We start from the raw sequence: 20,326 nt of genomic DNA on the forward strand, positions 1-20,326 counted from the left end.
AGTAGGATTCTCAATGAGAAAAATTGAAGAAGGCAGAGCATTAGATGAGGTGATTGATTTAATCATTCAGTATTTCACTGTTTAGTTGTCTAGCGCATGCCAGTCTAGTCTAAGCACTCGGTTATCTAATTAGTGAGAATCCTACAGGATGGTTGTGGTCAGAATTGCCTGGGGCCATACTGAGTCATGTGGAAGCAAAGAGCTTAGTAGCCACAGTGTATTTGCAACTTACATTATTAGTTATACTAAACATTATTAAACTAATGGATGATTTTGTCAGTTGGGAAAAGCCCTTATAAATAATCTAGATGTTAGGTTGAAAAGTGTTTCATCACATGGCAGAAAGAAGAGTATTTTATTTCAGGCAAGAGTTGCATCTTGTGGACAAGTCGGCTTTGTGTATTATGTGAGTAGTCTTAGTAGTCATTTGGGGCCACAATGCATACTCAGTACAGGAAGCCAGCCTGGAAATTCTGAACTTTTTCTGGCAAGGTACTAGCGGGGAGAAAAAGATAATGAAACTAGGACATGAAAATGTGTTTACATCAGGAAAAGAAACAATTTGATCCAAAGAGAATTTTTTTTAAAACTTTTTTCGGATCATTGGTTGAGAGTGAAGCAAAATAATTGGGAATATTTGTGGGTTAAAGAAGTCACAACATAATCGGGAATATTTGTGGGTTAAAGAAGTCTTGAATATTAGGGATTTAAATAATTTTAGTAGACACCAGGGTTACTGAAGAGAGAACTAGGCCAAGAAAGGTACTAATAGGTAAGGGGATGTTTTTCTTGAGCTATTTTTTAACTACGTGCAATTCAGCTATATTCTTAGCATATTGTCTTCCTGGGAAATGTGAGAATTAAGTGATATTAGTGCTCCTGTACTAAGTATTTATTAAATGTTATTGACTGATTAAAGAAATTGTATCTCATAGTACGTAGATCTACTTTTTGAATTATGAAAGTTTTTAAGTATTACACATTTAACTCACTTTGAGGCATTTGGTTAAGTAAGTTGAATTACTTAACTGACAGGCAGAGCTAATATTGTTAGCTTTAAAAATCAGTGTTTAGTAATAAATTTTGCATCAGTCTTTTTTTCTTTTTTTTTGTAGTGGTGTAATAGTAGCTAGCTCATAGTGGTTGCTAACATAGATTCTGGAGCCAGATTATCTGAGTTTAAACCCAGGTTGGCTTTTTCTATCTGTGTAACCTTGAACAGCTTACCTCACTTCACTTTGACTCAGTTTGTTTATGTCTAAAATAGAGATTAGCATACTGCCTGACTCAGGGGGACTGTTCTGAGAAGTGAGTGAATTCATTCATGTAAAGTATTTAGAGCAGCTTCTGGAAGTAAATGTTAGCTAAGTAGTGGGTGATGGTGAACAGTGACAAAAATTTATTTGAAAGAGTAAAAATCATGTCCTATAAATACATGAAGTTGGATATGTCTATGTTGGAGAATATAAACTTAAGAGAAAACATAACTGATATTTTAAACTATTTGAAGTATATTATAAGTAGCCAACAAAGATGGCCCATTTTGTGTTGTTGCAGAAAGCCAAACTAGAACTATTTGTTAGAAACTATCTTGGGACAAAGTTTAGGTAAAATAACCCCCCAAAAAAGTAAAATAACTCTCTGAGGCACTGTTTCCTAAAGTGTGATGCTGTTGCTCCTTGGAGTACCCAAGATGATTTTGATGTACACAGATACACATTAAAATAAATGCATGACTGTTGCAATTAAAGAACATTCCTTAGAAAATGCAGAACTGACAGAAAGCTGACAGTGATGCTAGGCTTGAGTTTCTTTAATAAAACATACTGTTACAATTGTTGGGCCGATATGGCAAATATATCTGTAAACATACCTGTAAAGATTTTATGATTCTACCTTAATAGTTAATCAGCAGTTATGGTTAATCTTTTCAATATTCCTTTAAGTAAGAAATAAAGAGAAAATGGGATAAAAGCCAGGAAGTTGGTCAAATTCAGTAAAACTATGAAGTGTCTCTGGCAAATCCTTAACTCTAAGCATCTGTTAACTCAGATATATATTTTTTAAAAAAGAGGTGTAATACAATAAATACCTGTATATCTCATGAGGCTGTAGAGATATTTTTTAATTTAAACAATAAAAAAACCATATAAATATAACTACAAGCAGTCTCCTTCCGAACAGACCATATTCCCCAAATTAAGTTGAATTGACTGCTGGAGACTGTCACTATTGAAGAATTCAAATATGTTGAAGAGTCCGTATTTAGCATCCAGAAGCACTTTAGGGAAGTCACATTATATAGAATTGTGTAGATTGTTTTAAAACCAAAGGTGAAGTACTTCTGAAATTAGAATGAAAGTATGTATGTTTATATTTCTAAATGTATAAATCCTAAACACTTTTTATTATCAGTAGTTTAAAAAAAAACCCTGCCTTCCATAGTAGTAAAGAGCAATACAAAATGATGTATCATTCAAGTATTTGTATTAATATTTGAATTATATCTTCTTTACCCCTTTCTCAAGGAAAATAGCTTACGTTTTTATTAGTACGTAACGTTTTTCAAGAGAAACAAATAGAGCAGAAGTATTGGTGGCCAGGAGGGGGAGTGGGAATGGTATTAGCAAGCTAGTTAGAAATGTAAATTTGCTGTGATAACCCACATACAGCTATGTATGTCATAAAGAGCTTACTGTACTTTTTGAGAGGAAAAAAGTTATGAGTATCATTTAATTAAGAAAATTAAGTCAGTAATTGTATTTCTGAAGGCAGATGCTCTAACTTGTATCTATTCAGTCATAAAAATGGGAAAGTGGGGTAGCCATCAGTTCTTTTTTTCTTTTATGCCAGTGGAATGAGTGGAGGAGATAAGCTTTCTTTTGGGTCTTGAAAAGGACTATCATTTAGGGCCCGGGCGCAATGGCTCACGCCTGTAATCCTAGCACTTTGGGAGGCCGAGGCAGGCAGATCACGAGGTCAGGAGATCGAGACCATCCTGGCTAACACGGTGAAACCCCGTCTCTACTAAAAATACAAAAAAATTAGCTGGGTGTGGTGGTGGGTGCCTGTAGTCCCAGCTACTCGGGAGCTGAGGCAGGAGAGTGGCGTGAACCCCGGGAGTTGGAGCTTGCAGTGATGCAGTGAGCTGAGACTGCGCCACTGCACTCCAGCCTGGGCGACAGAGCAAGACTCCGCCTCAAAAAAAAAAAAGACTGTGATTTAGTAGCATGGTTCTCTCCTTAGTTTTGGCTTTTTCACATTGAAAAAAATAAAAATGTCTTTAGTTTCCTCATCAAGAGAACTTTAACCTGTATTTCCAGCTAATTTAATGTGTATGCCTATCCCTTCCTCTAGTTGCAGTAATTCAAGTTACCACAACTGTAGCTGAGAGCCAATACATATGACCCTACACAGTTTCTAGTCAGAATATTAGAATCATCCTGTTTTTGTTTTTTGTAGCTATGGATTAGATCCTTAATAAGACGATTTGGAAACCAGAACCAAAATTGTAAAGTCGCTTGTCTTCAGGCTTTTCTCAAAGCCTTCTTATTTTTAAATAAATAAGGACACACATGTGTCAGTAATATATGTTTAACATACCTGTGCATATACACATCAACAGGTATGTTAAATAGCTCCTCATGTTGTTTTTACAACACTTCATAAGTGTTCTTCATTTTTATACAAGTTTTTCCTTTTAAAAATCATTTTCTAAATGAGTTTGAAGGACATATTGTTATTAAAAGTCTTTTTAAAAACATAAGTCACTTAGTTTTTTTCTTAATAGGTAGGTATTTCTCATAATTCTGATTAAGAGTTATAATGGAACATACTCCAGAAATTCACATAGAAATATTGGTAGGAAAGTGAATACACACACCATTGTTTAGTGTGATGGTGGCAGATTAGTTATTTCCATAACAGGGAATAGGAAATATTTCACATGGTTTAGCTTCATCTGTAGTCAGTTCTATTTTTGGTAATGTAGATACTTGGAATCTGAGAGTTGCCCAAAAAATAAGTAGAATAGCTCTTTACAGGATTCTAAAATTCCTCAGGTATGAGATAGTTGGAGAAATTTTCTAAGTGATTATATTCAAGCCAAGGAATGAAAACTTAAGATGCTATGAAATTTATACATATTTTTACCATTTTAGTATTGAGTAGCCTCAGCTAAGAACATAAACTGGCTATGATATCATTAATTTTCTCAATAGGTCAATAATTGTGACATTATGACATCATAATTTATCATTTGACTTTAAACTTGATGAAAATATTTTTATTTGCTTTGTAAATGTTCAATTCTCTACACCTATGAATGAAATTTTCCAGAGCAAATTTATACTGGATTAATACCATTAGGCTATGCCCAGGGATAAGCAGGAAGCCCTTCACATCCTGTGAAGTGTTTTGGGGACTGTTGACCATTTCTAGGCTTAATACAACTATTCACTCTTCTGTAGTCTATTCTTTTTTTTTTTTTTTTTCTTTGAGACGGAGTCTCGTTCTGTCTCCCAGGCTGGATTGCAGTGGCGCTATCTCATCTACCTGCAACCTCTGCCTCCAGGGTTCAAGCAACTCTCCTGTCTCAGCCTCATGAGTAGCTGGGACTACAGGTGCCTGCCACCACGCCCGGCTAATTTTTGTATTTTTAGTAGAGACGAGGTTTCACCATATTGGTCAGGCTGGTCTCCAACTCCTGGACTCAGGTGATCCACCCGCCTCAGCTTCCCAAAGTGCTGGGATTACAGGCATGACCACCCGTGTGTAGCTCCATAGTCTATTCTTGATCACTCTATTAAAATTTATTGCATCAGTCTGATTTTTCAGTTGATCTCCCATCACTTAGAGCTTTTTAAAAACTTTTATGTTTAGAAGACCTAGACAACAAAATACTAAGTGCTACTTTCACTCCTATCTGAGGAGAGGAGAAATAATATATAGGTCAGGTAAGCTATAAAATAGATCTGCCAGACTTTGGGGTCATTGGAGCTCAAGGATAGGTTAAGTGTGCAACAGATTACAAGCTAAATAAAGACACTACAATGGCAGCGATGCAAATGAAGTTATTTTATATGAAAGGGTCTGATATAAGCCTTATAGTGATTGACTTTTTTCTTAGAATTTAAATGACTGAGAGTTGACAAGTTTGTTTTTCCCACTTTATATTAGAGGAACTAGTGTGTTACAGACACACTTCCTTGTAGTAAAGCATTAGCATAAAATAAAAGTATATTTCATAATGTGAAATGTTTTCTTTTGATCTTTAAGTTTTATATTTTTAGGTAGACATTTCTGGCAACTTTCAGCACATATTTTTACTTAAGATTTATTCAATATTGAATTTTTTCCAGGCCTAAAAAAATCTGTGAATTTAAAATAAGATCTTAATTTTAACAGTCTTTGTTTGTTTACTGCCTTGACTTCATATATTAATTTCAGGGTAAAAATACTCATTGTGTATTCAAATTTGTGGGGAGGAGTTCTTTTAAAACAATTTGTGGATTTTATCAAACTAGTAGTTTCTTATGAAAAAGAAATTACAGTCTTTTTTTTTTCCATAGGAATTATGTCACTGCAAGTAACATAGATAGAAATGCCTATATACTTTTATGGTATTTAACATATGTACTATTCCATGATTTTGTTAATAGTAATTTGTATCTGAATCCCTCTTACCTCATAGGTAGACACATAAACAATTAGTAGATAGCTGTTATAACATATATTAAAGTGATAGAAAGCATTATTAGCTATAGTAATTTCTCTAAACAAGTTTAACATTGATTTCTTAAATCCTGTCTAATCTGTACAGGCTTCAGAGTATCAGTTTAATGGTGGTATATCTTCTCAGTCATCTGTGTCTTCTAGCACTACTTCCATGCAGGACTTGGTATAATGTAGATTGGATCTGAACAGCTATTTATTGGACTATATATGCCATACCATTCTTTATAATAAGTAGAAAAAATAAGCATTTAGTTCAAGTTGTTTCCATTCATTGGGAAAATTATTTGGGATGCTATTTACCGCAAAGTGTTGTATATTTCTGTCTTCATTAGCTGAAACAAATACTTGTGAATTTTAACACAAATGATAATGAAATGTGTGTTTCTTGTTAATTTCAGAGTTTTATATGATTCAGATGATATATATTTACCTATAAATAAAAGTCCTTTGTAGAATGGTAAAACATTTAAATCTTATATGGTGACATTGTCATTGCTCTTAAAACAAAGTAGCACTAATTTTCAGATGCCCACATAGCTTTTCGTATCAGAAATATTTGTATATGTGGGCTTATTTTTAGTTCTGACATTTTACAATTTGTGCTTTGTTTACATGCAGCAAGGAGTTATGGGCGAAGACGAGGTAATTCATTTCTGTTTGCTATGGTATAATTGTTTCTAATGGGGTTTACTGATCAATGTTGTAATTAATTACTCTAGATTTTTCATGCAATATCTGAAAACTCACACAATTGTATTTTGATTTGAGCACTTGTCGAAGTTTTTAATTTTAAATCTCCTAACCTTTGAACTGTATTTTTATACTAATTGTGGTTATTTAATAAATTTTCCCCTTTTAAACTGCTGAGATTTAACTCTAGTTTTTAAAGTTACTTCTGTATCTCTTAAAATAAAGCTGCTGTTTATGGTTTGTCTGCTTAAATATGTTTAATATTAGTGAAGTTAGCATGAAGTATGATTTTTCTGCTCTCTAAATGTGTAACTGTCATATTTATGATGTATAATTTACAGCTCTAGATTGTTAGTTTTATGTTGACCCAGTTGAAAATAACACACACCAAATAGATTATTTTTAACAGTGATTTATAGAAATCATGTTGCTTATATTTCTCTGTTTTCTAAGAATATAACCCCTTCTTTCCCTTTCTGTCTCTCACACACACACACAAACACATACCTTCTCCCCTTTCCTTTTTCCTTTCCCTCCCCCACAAAAGTATTCCCCACAGAGTTCTTGTGTGGTATCCTAAGGAAAGAGGACTATGTGATGCAAGACTATTATTGAACTTCCTAGGAAAGTAGCTGATGTTTTCTGTGGCTAAAACTTTGCTTCTCCCTTTTCCATGTGCAGACTAGTAGATGGGATGAGAGGAAGCAAAAGTATGCTACTAGATTGTTCTTTAAATGAGCAATAATCATGATGTTTATATTGTTAGGCTTATTCCAAGTGCCACACCGAATAAAAAGAGTTTTCTTTGACCTCTAAAAATCTCCCTTAAGCCATAGAGGATAGACAGGAATAATAGTGCCCTTTGATCACTTTTTTTTTTTTTTGAGACGGAGTTTCGCTCTTGTTGCCCAGGCTGGAGTGCAGTGGCGCGATCTCGGCTCACCACAACCTCTGCTTCCCGGATTCAAGCAATTCTCCTACCTCATCCTCCCAAGTAGCTGGGATTACAGGCATGTGCCACCACACCCAGCTAAATTTTTTATTTTTAGTAGAGATGGAGTTTCTCCATGTTGGCCCGTCTGGTCTTGAATTCCTGACCTCAGGTGATCTGCCCACCTCGGCCTCCCAAAGTGCTGGGATTACAGGCATGAGCCACCTATAGACATGTGCCAGTGCTTCCATTTCTTTTCAACTAGTCATGAATGTGTGTACTTTTTAAACAACAAACAAGCAAAACCATTTGCCACGACTGACAACCAAAACTAGTATTTTATATTCTTAAGTGGTCCCAATTTTATATTTCAGATTATCTGAATTTAACTTAATTTTTTAATATGGTTTTTTCAAATGCTTGACTGAATCTTTTGGTTCTTCAGTTTTCTAACTAAAAACTTAGAGGAGACAGACACTCAAGACTTAAAAAATTGAAGCTGAACAACTTTTCTAAAAACTTAGCAAGCTGAGAAGGGGGGAGCAGTTTAGAAGTTTAGTACCTATTTTCAAATCTATGGACTAGCTTATTTCACTATGCAATTTTAGTAATGGAGCTTCAGTTCTCTGAAACACAACCCACTTACCAGTCTGTGATTTTTAGGCATTTTGAAACTATAGAGCAATTCAGAATTCTTGCCTTGTTAAACATTTTTCATCTTTTACCTGTTGTGACTTACATTTAGTCTAATTTCGTATGCTCTCATGTAAATATCATGACCTAAGAAGTTCTTAGGAACAAGGTATTAGGAAGTAATGTTATTATTTGTCTTCATCTCAGTTCAATAATTGTAGATTATGATTATATTAAGAAAAAACAAAATTTTTTTCCCTGCTTTTATATAGGAACCAGCTATCATTCCTATATATCTCTATCCCCCGTAAGCCATAAAGACTTATTCGGCTTCAGAACTGCCTTCCTGCATTGGAAGAAGGAAGACTCTCACATGGTTTTAAGGCTTCTGATAAAAGCTTCCATTACGACAGAACTGATGGTTGGCATACATATTTGGCTTAGCATAAGGGGGAGTGAATGCCTGAATTTTCATCTCAAATTATATGGCCTTAGTAAATTATGAACACTAGCAGTCTACTTTTAAAATTTTGATTGTGAGAGTCACGTGAAAGGCACACTCATTAGAAATAACTACTGAGAGATTTTATCTGAATTTTAAAGTACACTGAAACGGTAAGTAATGCAATTTTTTTAAAACCTGCATACCAAAGGAATGACTCAGAAATGGCTAGTCACCTGGTTTTCTTCCTATTTTTTACTGTTTTTTCCTATTCCATGCTAGGTATAATAAACCTCAGACTGATAACCTTTTAACCACCAAACACCCCCTTTTATATAGCCTCATGTGTTAGATTTGATCCATCAAAGAAACTGCATTTATTTAGTAATTATTTTGTGAAAAATGAGTTGCTTATCTTCTGTTCATGTCGGATGTGTCACACTGAGTTGATATAATTTTTGCTAAAAATAAGTCATGGCTCTTCTACCAGTGCAATAATGGGTGAACAGTTATTTTCACAGGACATTCTGACTTTGACTTTTGTAGTCCTGTTCAGGAAGAACTGTTTTTCTTCTTTCAGCCCAGGCACGAAACTGTTTTCATTTAAAAGATTTCTCACTTGACTACAGTCAAATCAAGTTACTACCAAAATGACTTTATGTACTTGAATTTCTTAATAATGTCAATAAGAACTTTAAATAAAGCTAGCTCCAGATATTAATTTATGAAATATACTTTAGGAATAATCAAAATGTAATTATGCTAGTAGTAGTTAAGAAAAGCAGAGATTTCTGTCCCTGCTTTTTAGTTGGAACCTACTATCACTACTGTGTATCTCTATCCCCTGGTAGCCATAAAGAGTTCTACTTTAGAGCTGCCTAGGGGGCAGCATTAGGAAGGAAAACGGTTCATATGGGGAGCTGACTTTAATATATGGAAAACTACTTATCATTTGTATTTATTTTTTATTCATTGTTTCTTCCATTCCATTCTGAGAGTGAACATACTTGTCCAGGATTGAAGTAGGATGAGGGTTGTGAAGGGAGGCGTGAAGTGTAATTTAAGTTCGATCCTTTCAACTTAAACTATTTCTATAGCACAATAAGTTCCTTTAATAAAGGATTAAAGGGCTACTGTGTTCCAAAAGGAATAAAAATATATAGAATATTTTTAGTAATATAAATAAAAACGTAGTTTAGTTAATGGTTCTAAGACCCGGAAGGCAATCCTTTTAAGCAAGGAAACCCAGAGCTTGAGTTAGTAGATTACATATGGGATGAGAAGATAGGAGAAATAATTTTAAAGGGAGACAAATGATGGAAAGGTTAATTAGAGAAGTTTGATTTATTCATAGTGTATAGTCATTCAGACTTACGTGCTATAATAAATAAGGAATTATTAATAATATAGTATACTGCTTTGAAGTTGATCCAGGATTTTCAATTTGGAACAATTGTGAAGTACCCAGGGTAACTGTACACTCCCTAATAACATCACTGCCAGATATTTTTATGATGAAATCAAGGCTGAAATCCTTGATAAATAACTTCAATAATTGTGAGAGAGTGGGCAAGATCTCTGAAGCATGAAAAAAAAGCTGGGGTAACACTAATACAGGGGTCAGGAAACCATGGCCCGCAGGCCAAGGCTTCTGTTTTTGTAAACAAAGTTTTATTGAAATGCAGCCAGTATTTATTCATTGACTTTTGTCTGGCTGCCTTGAAACTACAATGATAGCACAGTTGAGTAATTCCAACAGAAAATGTCTGGTCTTCAAAATGTAAAATATTATATTTAATACTGACCCTTTAAAGAAAAAAATTTGCTGACCTCCCTTTCCTAACCTTTAAGAGACTGGTAGTGTCTGCTCTACACCTATACCCAGCAATATGAATTTTTATAGAAAACAAATTTTAGTAAACCTAATTTTAAAGCATATATATCTAGAAATTAAATAAAATTTACAAAGACATATAAGGTCATAGATTATAAATTTTTTAAGTAAATTATCTTCTTTATCCTTAATGAGAAAGGTACAAACCTATTGGAGCAAAACATTTTTAAGCCGTTAGTGTGTACATTATGGTGCCTTTCTCAGTTATTTGCAGAATCATACCCGAGTGTATTTGATTAAACAGATAATGCTGAAAATAGATCAATCTGAAATATACTTCTGTTGTTTTGATAGTTTTTTAAATTAATGTTTGGTAACATTAGCATAGCGCCCAGTGTCAGAGTTAGTAACCACCTATAACTTCTCTAACATACATGGATGTGTGCCGCACATACACCTACACACACACGGAGACCAGAGACCATAGGGGATAGCCATTATTCTCGTTTTGCTCTTCCTTCTCTTATTACTTCATTCATCTATAATCTTTATTATAACTACTATTTTGCCTTTAAAATTATACATTTTAGGTAGCAAACTTAATGTAAGCTATTATACTTGCATTTGTAGGTAGGGTTCTTGAACTCATAGTTAAGAATATCTCCTGTTTTCTGTATTTTACCTTAATATGGCCTTTGGAATATTTCTCTGTGCTTTTGGCTAAGCAAATATCTTCTACCGAAGGAAGGCTTTTTCCCTCTACTTCTTTTTCTCCTCTATCCTTTTCTGTCTATAACTATCTCATTCTTTGTAAATCATTCTCTTTTAAAGAACCTTTAATTAGAATCTCACTCCAGCCTGGGTTATAATTAATCTTCTCTGCTTCTAAATTCTCAGATGTTTTATCTGTATTTTCTATTACAAAACTTCAATTTGCCTTTCATTCATATGTATGTATCAGTGCTTATGTACATAAATATCTGTCATAAATACCTGTACATATGTGTGTATATATACACATATTCATACATATTATATATATATGAGCGTATATACATTTTAATTTAGACTCATGGGAGTAGCATTTTTGTGTAACGGTTTATTCTTGTTGCCTTGTAGTAGGGTCAATAATTTTGATTTGGGTTTCTTTCATAACAATGCAGAGAAATGAAGTGTTTGGAGTCAAGATCAAGTGATAATTTCTAAAATCAAAAAGCAGAAGACCATAAGCAAAAAAAATCTGCCACCTTAAACAATGCAAAACTGTAGTTTTAAATTGTTTTGAGTATAGGGTTTGCAAATTAATATCTTTAGGGTTCTCTTACTGATTTTAACGGCAAGGAAATATTACCTTTAAGATTATTTATCTGGTGAAATAAAAAACACATCTAACTCTTGTGGTAAGAGCCTTAGGAATAACCATATCAGCTCTTCTTTTAAAAGAAAAAAATAATTTCATAAGTAATTACTTTTAAATATTTATAAGTATCAGTCTCAAGTAAAAGAGAAATGATTAGCTTTTTGTACGGAAATTGTATAGAAAGGAAATTACAATTAGTAGTTTTTATCAGTTATTTCTTATTGGTGAATAACATTTTATTGTATGAATTTGTTTATCCATTTTCCTATTGATAGATGTTTGAGTTATACATTTGGTACTTGTTATGAATAAACCTTCCATGAATATTTTTGTACCTTTTTGTATGTGGGTGGACATGAGCACTCGTTTCTCTTGGATGTATAAGTAAAAGTGGAATTACTAGTTCATAGAGCAAGTATATGTTCAACTTTATTAGAAACTGCCAAATAGTTTCCAGTTTTATACCCCAGTAGAGTATGAGACTGTGTTGGCCTTTTTTTTTTGAGATGGAGTTTTGCTCGTGCTGCCCAGGCAGGCTGGAGTGCAATGGCCCGATCTCGGCTCACTGCAACCTCCACCTCCTAGGTTGAAGCGATTCTTCTGCCTCAGCCTTCTGAGTAGTTGGGATTACAGACATGCGCCACCACACCCGGCTAATTTTTATATTTTTAGTAGAGACGGGGTTTCACGATGTTGGCCAGGCTGGTCTCAAACTCCTCACCTCAGGTGATCTGCCTGCCTCAGCCTCCCAAAGTGCTGGGATTACAGGCATGAGCCATCGCGCCTGGCCAAGTGTTGGCTTTTTAATTTTATCCATTCTGGTGGTGTGTAGTCCCTCACTGTGGCTCTAATTTGCAGTTTCCTGATGACTAAGGATGACATCTAAGCACCTTTTCATGTGCTTCTAACCCATTCCATTGTATTCTTCTGTAAAGTTCCATTACAAGTCTTTTGCTCATTTTTAATTGGGTCATTTTTCTTCATTTATGGGAGTTCTTTATATATTTTGTCCTATTTTCCAGTAGCGTATTGCTTGCCATCCACTTTTTAACAGTATCTTTGATAAGCAGAAAAATGTCTAAATTTTAATAAAAATCCAATTATTTTCATTCACCATTAGTGTCATTTAGTCCCAAGAAATTATCACTACCCACAAGGTTATGAAGAAATTCTAGTTTCGTTGTTTTAACTTTTGCATTTAAGTCTGTGATCCTTCTTGGATTTATTTTTCAGTATGGTGTGATACAAGGATCAAATTTATTTTTCCCCCTCCAACTAGAAATCCATTTATTGAAAAGATTTACTTTTCCACATTGAACTGTATTGGTACCTTTGAAAAACATCAAGTGACTGTACATGTATAGGCCCATTTCTAGACTCTATTATGTTCCATTTATCTGTCTAATATCAGTTTTACAGTCTCAATAACTATAGCTAACTAGTGAGTCTTGAAACTTGGTAGTGTAAATCCTCCAACTTTGGCTTTTTGTTTGTTTGTTTTGTACGCTCTCCTTGATTGTTCGTAGGCCTTTGATTTATCATAAATTTTAGAACTGGCTTGTGAATTTCTAGAAGACAGTGTGCTGAGATTTTGGATGGATTGTATCCAGTCTGTAGATTGGATAATTTGGAAAGAATTTACATCTAACATGGTTTCTTCTGTTTATTCATTTATTTCATATTTTTAACATTTTTCCACAGCAAATTTTTGTCATTTTCGGTGTAAAAGTCTTACATATCTTGTGTTAAGTTTATTTGTCAGTATTTGGTGGGTTTGGATGAGGTATGGAAATGATATTTAAAATTTTTCCCAGTTTATTACTAGCATTTAGAAATAATTTGGTTTTTGTAAATTGAATTTGCATTTCTTCCCTAGATAAATACAATTATTTCTACTAGTTTGATTTCTTCGAATTTTACATGTACAATTATGTCTATACTAAGTAATTTTATTTTTCTTTGCCAGTGTTCATGACTTTAAATTATTTTTTTCATCTTCTTTGATTTGTTGTACCTCCAGTAGTACAATGCTGAGTAGAAATAGAGTGAACATCCTTCCAAACCTTCAAGAGAAACCATTTGATAATTTATTATTACAGACTTTCACTCTTTTTTTTTTAAATGCTCTTTATTGGATTGAAGAAATTCCCTCCTACTCCTAGTTTTCTGGGAGTTGTGGTTTTTTTTTTTTTAATTATGAATAGCTGTTGAGTTTTATCAGATGCATTTCCTACATTTATGGAAATAATTTTATGGTATTTCTATTTTTGTCTGTTTATGTAGTACAATTAACAGTAATTGGTTTTAAAATGATAAATCAATCTTACGTTCCTGGGGTGAACCCCACTTAATCATGATTTGTTTTCCATTTTTATCTATACTTCTGGATTCATTCTGCCAATATATTTTTTAGGATTTTTGCATTTGTGTTCATGAGGGATATTGGTATATAGTTTCCTTATGTTTTTGTCAGATTTTAGTATTGCACTTGTAAAAAAAAGTTGTGAAGTGCTTCCTCTTTCTTTATTCTCTGGAAGAGTTTGTATAAAATTGCCATTTTTTCTTCTTCAAAAGTCTAGTTCATTTGCCAGTAAAGCCATCTAGGCCTGGATTTTTCTCTGTCGGAAGATTTTTTTATTTTAAGTTATGACTTTCATTTTTTTTTAGCAGACAAAGAACTTTTCAGATTTTTTCTCCCTGTGCCATTTTTGAAAAGCTGCATTTTTCAAGGGATTTGTTTCCTCTAGTTGTTAAATTTATTACCATAAAGTGGCTAATAACATTCTTTTTAATCTTTTAATGTTTGTAAGTTCTGTGTTGATTGATGTCTCTTTTTTGTTACTTTATTTCCTTCATCGTACTTTCTTTGTATTTTATTTGCTGTTCTTTTTCTAGCTTTTTGTGGTAGAAACAAGATGATTTGTTTTAAGCATGTCTTGTTTTCTAATATGCTTTTAAAACTATGAATTTTCCTTTGAGCCTGGCTTTTGCTGCATTCCAGCAAAATGAATTTGTTGTGTTTCATTATCATTCAGTTTTATTCCTTTGAGGTGTAAGAACCTGAAAACATACGTATGGTATCCTTCTTAGAAAGCATGTTTAAAGTATACTACAGTGGTAGATATAACTTATTTAATGGTTCTCCTTTTATTGTCATATTAATTTGGAATATGATAAAAGGATAATTGGCAAGGTAAAAGGTCAGACTTTGTCAATGATATATATTCAGTTAACTCTTCTTTTAAATGAGTATTTAAATCTGTAGCTTTTATGGCTTCTTGAAAAAAAGCAGTCATTATTGTCCAACAGTGAAGATTCTTGTTAGTATGGCTAGTGTGCAAAATGTTCTTAAACTTTTCGTTACATTCTTTGTTTAGCTGAACTTCGTTAATAGATTATAGATGTTTTTAGTTATATGAATACTAAGTAATATTTTATTATAGTAAACAAAAAGTTTGAGTCACTTTTGGGTCACTTTTCTCTTTGGCATTGCTTATAGTGTGATTTGTCACCGCATTCTTTTTTTTTTAATATAGACCCTAAGTATTTGTGATCCATATTTTTTCTCAACTTAAATGTCTGTTAGAAAGACATTTGAATACTTACTGTATTTATGACACTGCTAAGTTTTTATTTGTGTTAGGGCATTTTAAAGTGAAAAACTTTCCAAAGTATTGTACATCTGAAATAAATATAGAATTTGGATTTGTGATTTTTTTCCTTAAAATCGTTTGTATGTATGCTGTTTATCTTATTCCTTTTAAAGTAGAGAATTATTCAATTAAAGTCTAACCTTTAAAAGTTTGACCAGTTATTCACAATTAATATTATTTTTAGTGGACCTTGATGTTCATTTTATTGAGTAAAAATAGTTTCATGTTGAAGAGTTTCCTTTCTATTGATGACAAAAAATACTGACATTTTGTTTTACATTGCTTCCTGTTTCTAATAACAGCGGTATTTGAAAAGTTAAGCAATATTCACAAAGTTACTCAGTGAACATGGGTATTTTTCAGAACATCATATTTAAACAGCATTTGAATCTTTAGAATAATTCATTTCCTATATCAAATATCATCTTTCTCTCTGTTGTTGTGTCTTATAAACTAAATTTTTATGTCAAACATCTAGGTAGCTAGCTCCCTCACTCTGACAGGCATGTGGTCCCTTCCTTCTTGTCCCCAACCCATTCTGTTCAGGCTGTCACATTTCTAATTGTCTTTGTTTGTATCACTTGCATCATGTGTCATATTGTTCAAGATGTTCTATGGCATGTGATTTAATATATAAACAAATACCCAACATAAAACGGTCCGGTCCGTGGCCTGTTTGTTTAATATATAGACAGATACCCAACATAAAACCGATACTGGTCCATGGTCTGTTAGGAACCAGGCCACACAGCAGGAGGTGAGTGGAGGGCAAGTGAGCATTGCTGCCTGCCTGAGCTCCACCTCCTGTCAGATCAGCAGTAGCATTAGATTCTCACAGGAGCGTGAACCCTATTGTGAACTGCATGTGTGAAGGATCTAGGTTGTGTGCTCCTTATGAGAATCTAATGCCTGATGATCTGAGGTGGAACATTTTCATCCCAAAATCATCCCCCTGCTGTGGAAAAATTGTTGTCCACAAAACTGGTCCCTGGTGCCGAAAAGGTTGGGGATCGCTGCTATAGATTATATGCATTGTCTCCTATCCAAAAAAATCCTTCAGTTAATACTGAAAGAAAAACAACTTGTCCATATTCTTACTGTTTTTCCTTCTCTAACATACTTCTCTTCATTTGATCTCTATACGTAATAAAACTCTAAATACATGCAATGTGACTCCTACCCAACTTTCCTGAAACAGCTACCTTCACAGATCATGTATGTCCTCAAAAACAACTGTTTATTAAAAGTAATTATCTTAATATCTCACATTGTTACTTAATTGCTCTTTCGTTCTTTTATTGGTTTTTTGGTGCTTCTATTACCATGATATTTTGGCTGCCCTCCCACTTTTCTTACCACTCCTTTCTCTAACTCCTTGAATGTTCTGCTTCTTCCTTGTAAGTTTCCCAAGGAACTGTCCTCATCATTTCTCGCTGGAGTGTTTATCATTGATGTTATAAAGGACCTTAAACTATAACCCATGGAGTTGACTCCAAATTATTTTCTCAGAAATATGACATTTCTTTTCTCCACTTCCTTTTCAGCTTCCTACTATACATTTGCTTCTGAACATCCTAACAGCATATAAAACTTTACATCTAAAGCTTAAATTATTTTCCTTTCTTATACCAGTTTCTGGTCTTAACTGTCCTTATATCAGTTAATGGTTTTATCATTTTCTAAAGTCTTCCTTAGATCTCTCCTTTTTCATTCTTTCTCCCTATTTTGTTTCCTATCTGCTTGTGACTGCCATCCATCCTTTGTGGATTTTTTGCACAGCTTCTGATCTGCTCATTTTCAACTACCTTATCCATATTGACTAAGTCTCCCTAATGCATAGAAAAAGTTATAATCTTGATTGAATCCCTGTATCTAGTTTATTATCTTCACCACCTACTAAATGTCTCGTTAGCCTGTCATTCAATGCTAAATACTCTAGCCTCAAAGGGCTTTTCTGGCTTTTACTCTCCTTGTTTCCAACATATTTCAGCCAACCTTGACTATTCCTTATTTCTCAAGTAAGTTCAATTTTTCCTACATTTTCTTATGTTTCTCCTTTCACTTGGAAAAAAAGGAAAATTTACTGAAAACCATGTTCCTGTAAATATTTCCACCTATAGATATTCTCCTCTTTCTAATGCCTCACTATGTACTGCTATTTTTCTCTTTTTATCCCAAATGCTATTTAATTTCACTTAGAGATTTAGGAAATCATCCTTTTATTTGACTCCTTTCCTCCAGAATATGTCCTCTGAGCACTTTGAAGCTTTCTTATGGATGTGTACCATGGTTACATATATAGATCTTATCTTTCTAAATGTACATTCCTTGACAGCCAGGGAGTATATCAGGGCATTTAAGTTTTGTGGAGGGATTACCCACAGAGTGGGGATTACTTCAGAGGATTGTGCAGGATGTGCCCTATATAAGGATTACCTCCTGAAATGTGGGCTCAAATGGGCACTAACGTGCTAGAGGGGGTACCTTTTCTATTTTGCACATGTGCGGAAGCTCCGTCTACTGTTTCATGTAATTGGCACACGTGTAATAAATTAGGTGAAGACCTTGTATACAAGTATTACTTGTTCTCCTCATCCTTACTTACTGTAGTCTACAAGTGATTTTTTATAAATTATATCCCCTTATCTATTTAGTCTGTGTCATTTCCTTTCTGCCACCAGTTTCTGAAAAGTTTCTCCTGTTATATATCCATTCTAACTGTCCACATACATTAGGTTCTTGCTTATAACAAGTTCTTGCTCATAACAAGTTGAAGTGATCTAGTATCTCTTTTGCAGTTTAATTGTTGACATATGACTATGTTTATTTCTAAGTCACTCTTTAGATTGCTTCTTTCTTGAATCCAGGTAATTAAAACCACATGCTATTTAAATTTCTCTTAATTTTTATGTTCACCTGCATCACCTTCATTTTTAAGTCTTTGAATTTGTCATTGGTATTTTTATGCTTAAATTTATCATTTTCTCAGATCTGAGATTCAAGTTGTATTTGTTCTTTATTCTAGGTCGTTCTTCCCTCTTTCCAATAGATGATGGCTTGCTTGATGATGGTCACAGTGATCAAGTTGGAGTTTTAAATTCACCCACCTGTTATTCAGCTCACCAAAATGGAGAGCGAATAGAACGCTTCTCTCGAAAAGTTTTTGTTGGTGGTCTTCCTCCAGATATTGATGAAGGTATTTATTAAGATATTTATTAACATGGTGATTTGGGCTTTAACAAAAACAAAAAGATATGAAATTTAATGTGAATGGACTATGAAAGTTTTTACCACCTAGAGATTTTCAGAATTAGAATGCATTTTCTTCTTTTAAAATACTTTATCACCTGTTGAAATATGAAAGTAGTTGAACAAAAGCTTTTTTATTTTTCACTTTAGATCTTATCATATTTGTAACTGTGAGCATTTTTTGTAAATAAGATTTTCATGACCTAGGTCATATTCTACTTGTTTTTAAAATATAGAATATATTTAGGTATATAAAACTTAAAGCTTTTTGTATCACCATAATGTGTGCATGCACACATACACTGAAATAAATGGAACCAACCATAAGATAATATCTGCAATGCTTGGTAATCAAAAGTTTATTTTTATTTTTATTTATTTATTTATTTTTTTTTTTGAGGTGGAGTCTCGCTCTGTCTTCCAGGCTGGAGTGCAGTGGCGCAATCTCGGCTCGCTGCAAACTCCACTTCCCGGGTTCAAGCGATTCTCCTGCCTCAGCCTCCTGAGTAGCTGGGACTACAGGCGCCCGCCACCATGCCCCGCTAATTTGTTGTATTTTTAGGTGAGACGGGGTTTCACTGTGTTAGCCAGAATGGTTTTGATCTCCTGACCTCATGATCCGCCCACTTTAGCCTCCCAAAGTGCTGGGATTACAGGCATGAGCCACCATACCCGGCCAAAAGTTTAATTTCTTTAAGGATAAATGTGCTCTTAGAAACAGGGAAGAAAGAGGCTATTAAACCCGAAAGGGAAATGGAAACAGAACATGAATAGGAAATTAGGGTTTCACAAACACTAGTAATTGTATGTGATAACAAAAGAAAATTAATTGAAGACTTAAAATATTAAGCTATATTTGTGAGGTTATGGGAAATGTATCACTCATTCTTACATTTTAGGAAATTTTTTAGTTATGATTCAGATATCCACAAACTTAATTCTAAGTATTGATCTTCATAAGCTTTCTATGTAATGAAATAACGTAAGACATAGCAATTGGATGTAACCTATGTGGATTTCAGTGAAACTACCAGGCATGTATCAGACCCTTGTATATTTTTTCAACATTGTAGTTATTCAAGTCTTGTTTTAGCAGACCTTTTTTCCTATAATAAAATGATTTTATTTGTGAAGCAGTAATAGATTTTATTTATATATGTTGGCATTTTTTTCAATCCAGTGCTATTTGTGGTTTGGTGTACTATAAAGTCATTAGTATCCATACAATGTTATATAAAATTTTAAAATTCACATGGAATTGAGTATTCTAACCAATGCATTGCTTAAAAGTGAATTTATTTTGACAAAAATTGTTAATCTTGACATATTATTTTAATAAGTATATTAGACATATTCCCAGTGTTTATATTCTAATTTATCTTAAGGTATTTGGCACTTTTAAATGTTAAATCTTCATAGTAACAGTACAGAATTTCTTAGAACGAATCACTGAAACTAATTTCTAATGTGTATTATTGTACTTTCTTAAGATGAAATAACTGCTAGCTTCAGAAGATTTGGGCCTTTGGTAGTAGATTGGCCTCATAAAGCAGAAAGCAAGTCCTATTTTCCACCAAAAGGTAAGGATTGTTATTGTTAATATTTGCTAGGAAATTGGTTGTATGAGAGCAAAAGAAAGAATAGCAATTACTTAGCCAGTTAGGAATCATAAGAGACTTGCTATGATTTGATAATTTCATAGACTCAGATCAACAAATGTTTGAGTATTTTCTCTGTCTAAAGCATCATTTCAAGTAACTTGGGTATAGACATATGAAACAATATCTCTCTGCATTAT

The 20,326-nt window shown here is 33.5% G+C and overlaps 1 protein-coding gene and 1 long non-coding RNA gene across 12 annotated transcripts in view; one reads left to right on the top strand and one right to left on the bottom strand.

The window, feature by feature from the left end:
- The window catches only part of CPEB2 (cytoplasmic polyadenylation element binding protein 2), a 67,671-nt gene that overhangs the window by 31,629 nt on the left and 15,716 nt on the right, over window positions 1-20,326 (top strand). For 6 of the 11 annotated variants that reach the window (XM_005248135.4, NM_001177381.2, NM_001177382.2 and 3 more), the window contains 3 exons: window positions 6,355-6,378; window positions 18,305-18,475; window positions 20,019-20,108. In XM_005248135.4, the coding sequence (XP_005248192.2) occupies window positions 6,355-6,378; window positions 18,305-18,475; window positions 20,019-20,108 (285 nt within the window). The remainder of the gene's footprint in view (window positions 1-6,354; window positions 6,379-18,304; window positions 18,476-20,018; window positions 20,109-20,326) is intronic. The other 5 variants (XM_011513777.4, NM_001177384.2, NM_182485.3 and 2 more) reach the window with 1 other exon arrangement.
- Window positions 1-20,326, bottom strand: part of C1QTNF7-AS1 (C1QTNF7 antisense RNA 1) — a 422,973-nt gene that overhangs the window by 29,168 nt on the left and 373,479 nt on the right. The gene's annotated exons all lie outside the window — the stretch shown is intronic.

This window comes from Homo sapiens, chromosome 4, assembly GCF_000001405.40.
Source record: "Homo sapiens chromosome 4, GRCh38.p14 Primary Assembly".
Taxonomy (NCBI): Eukaryota; Metazoa; Chordata; class Mammalia; order Primates; family Hominidae; genus Homo; species Homo sapiens.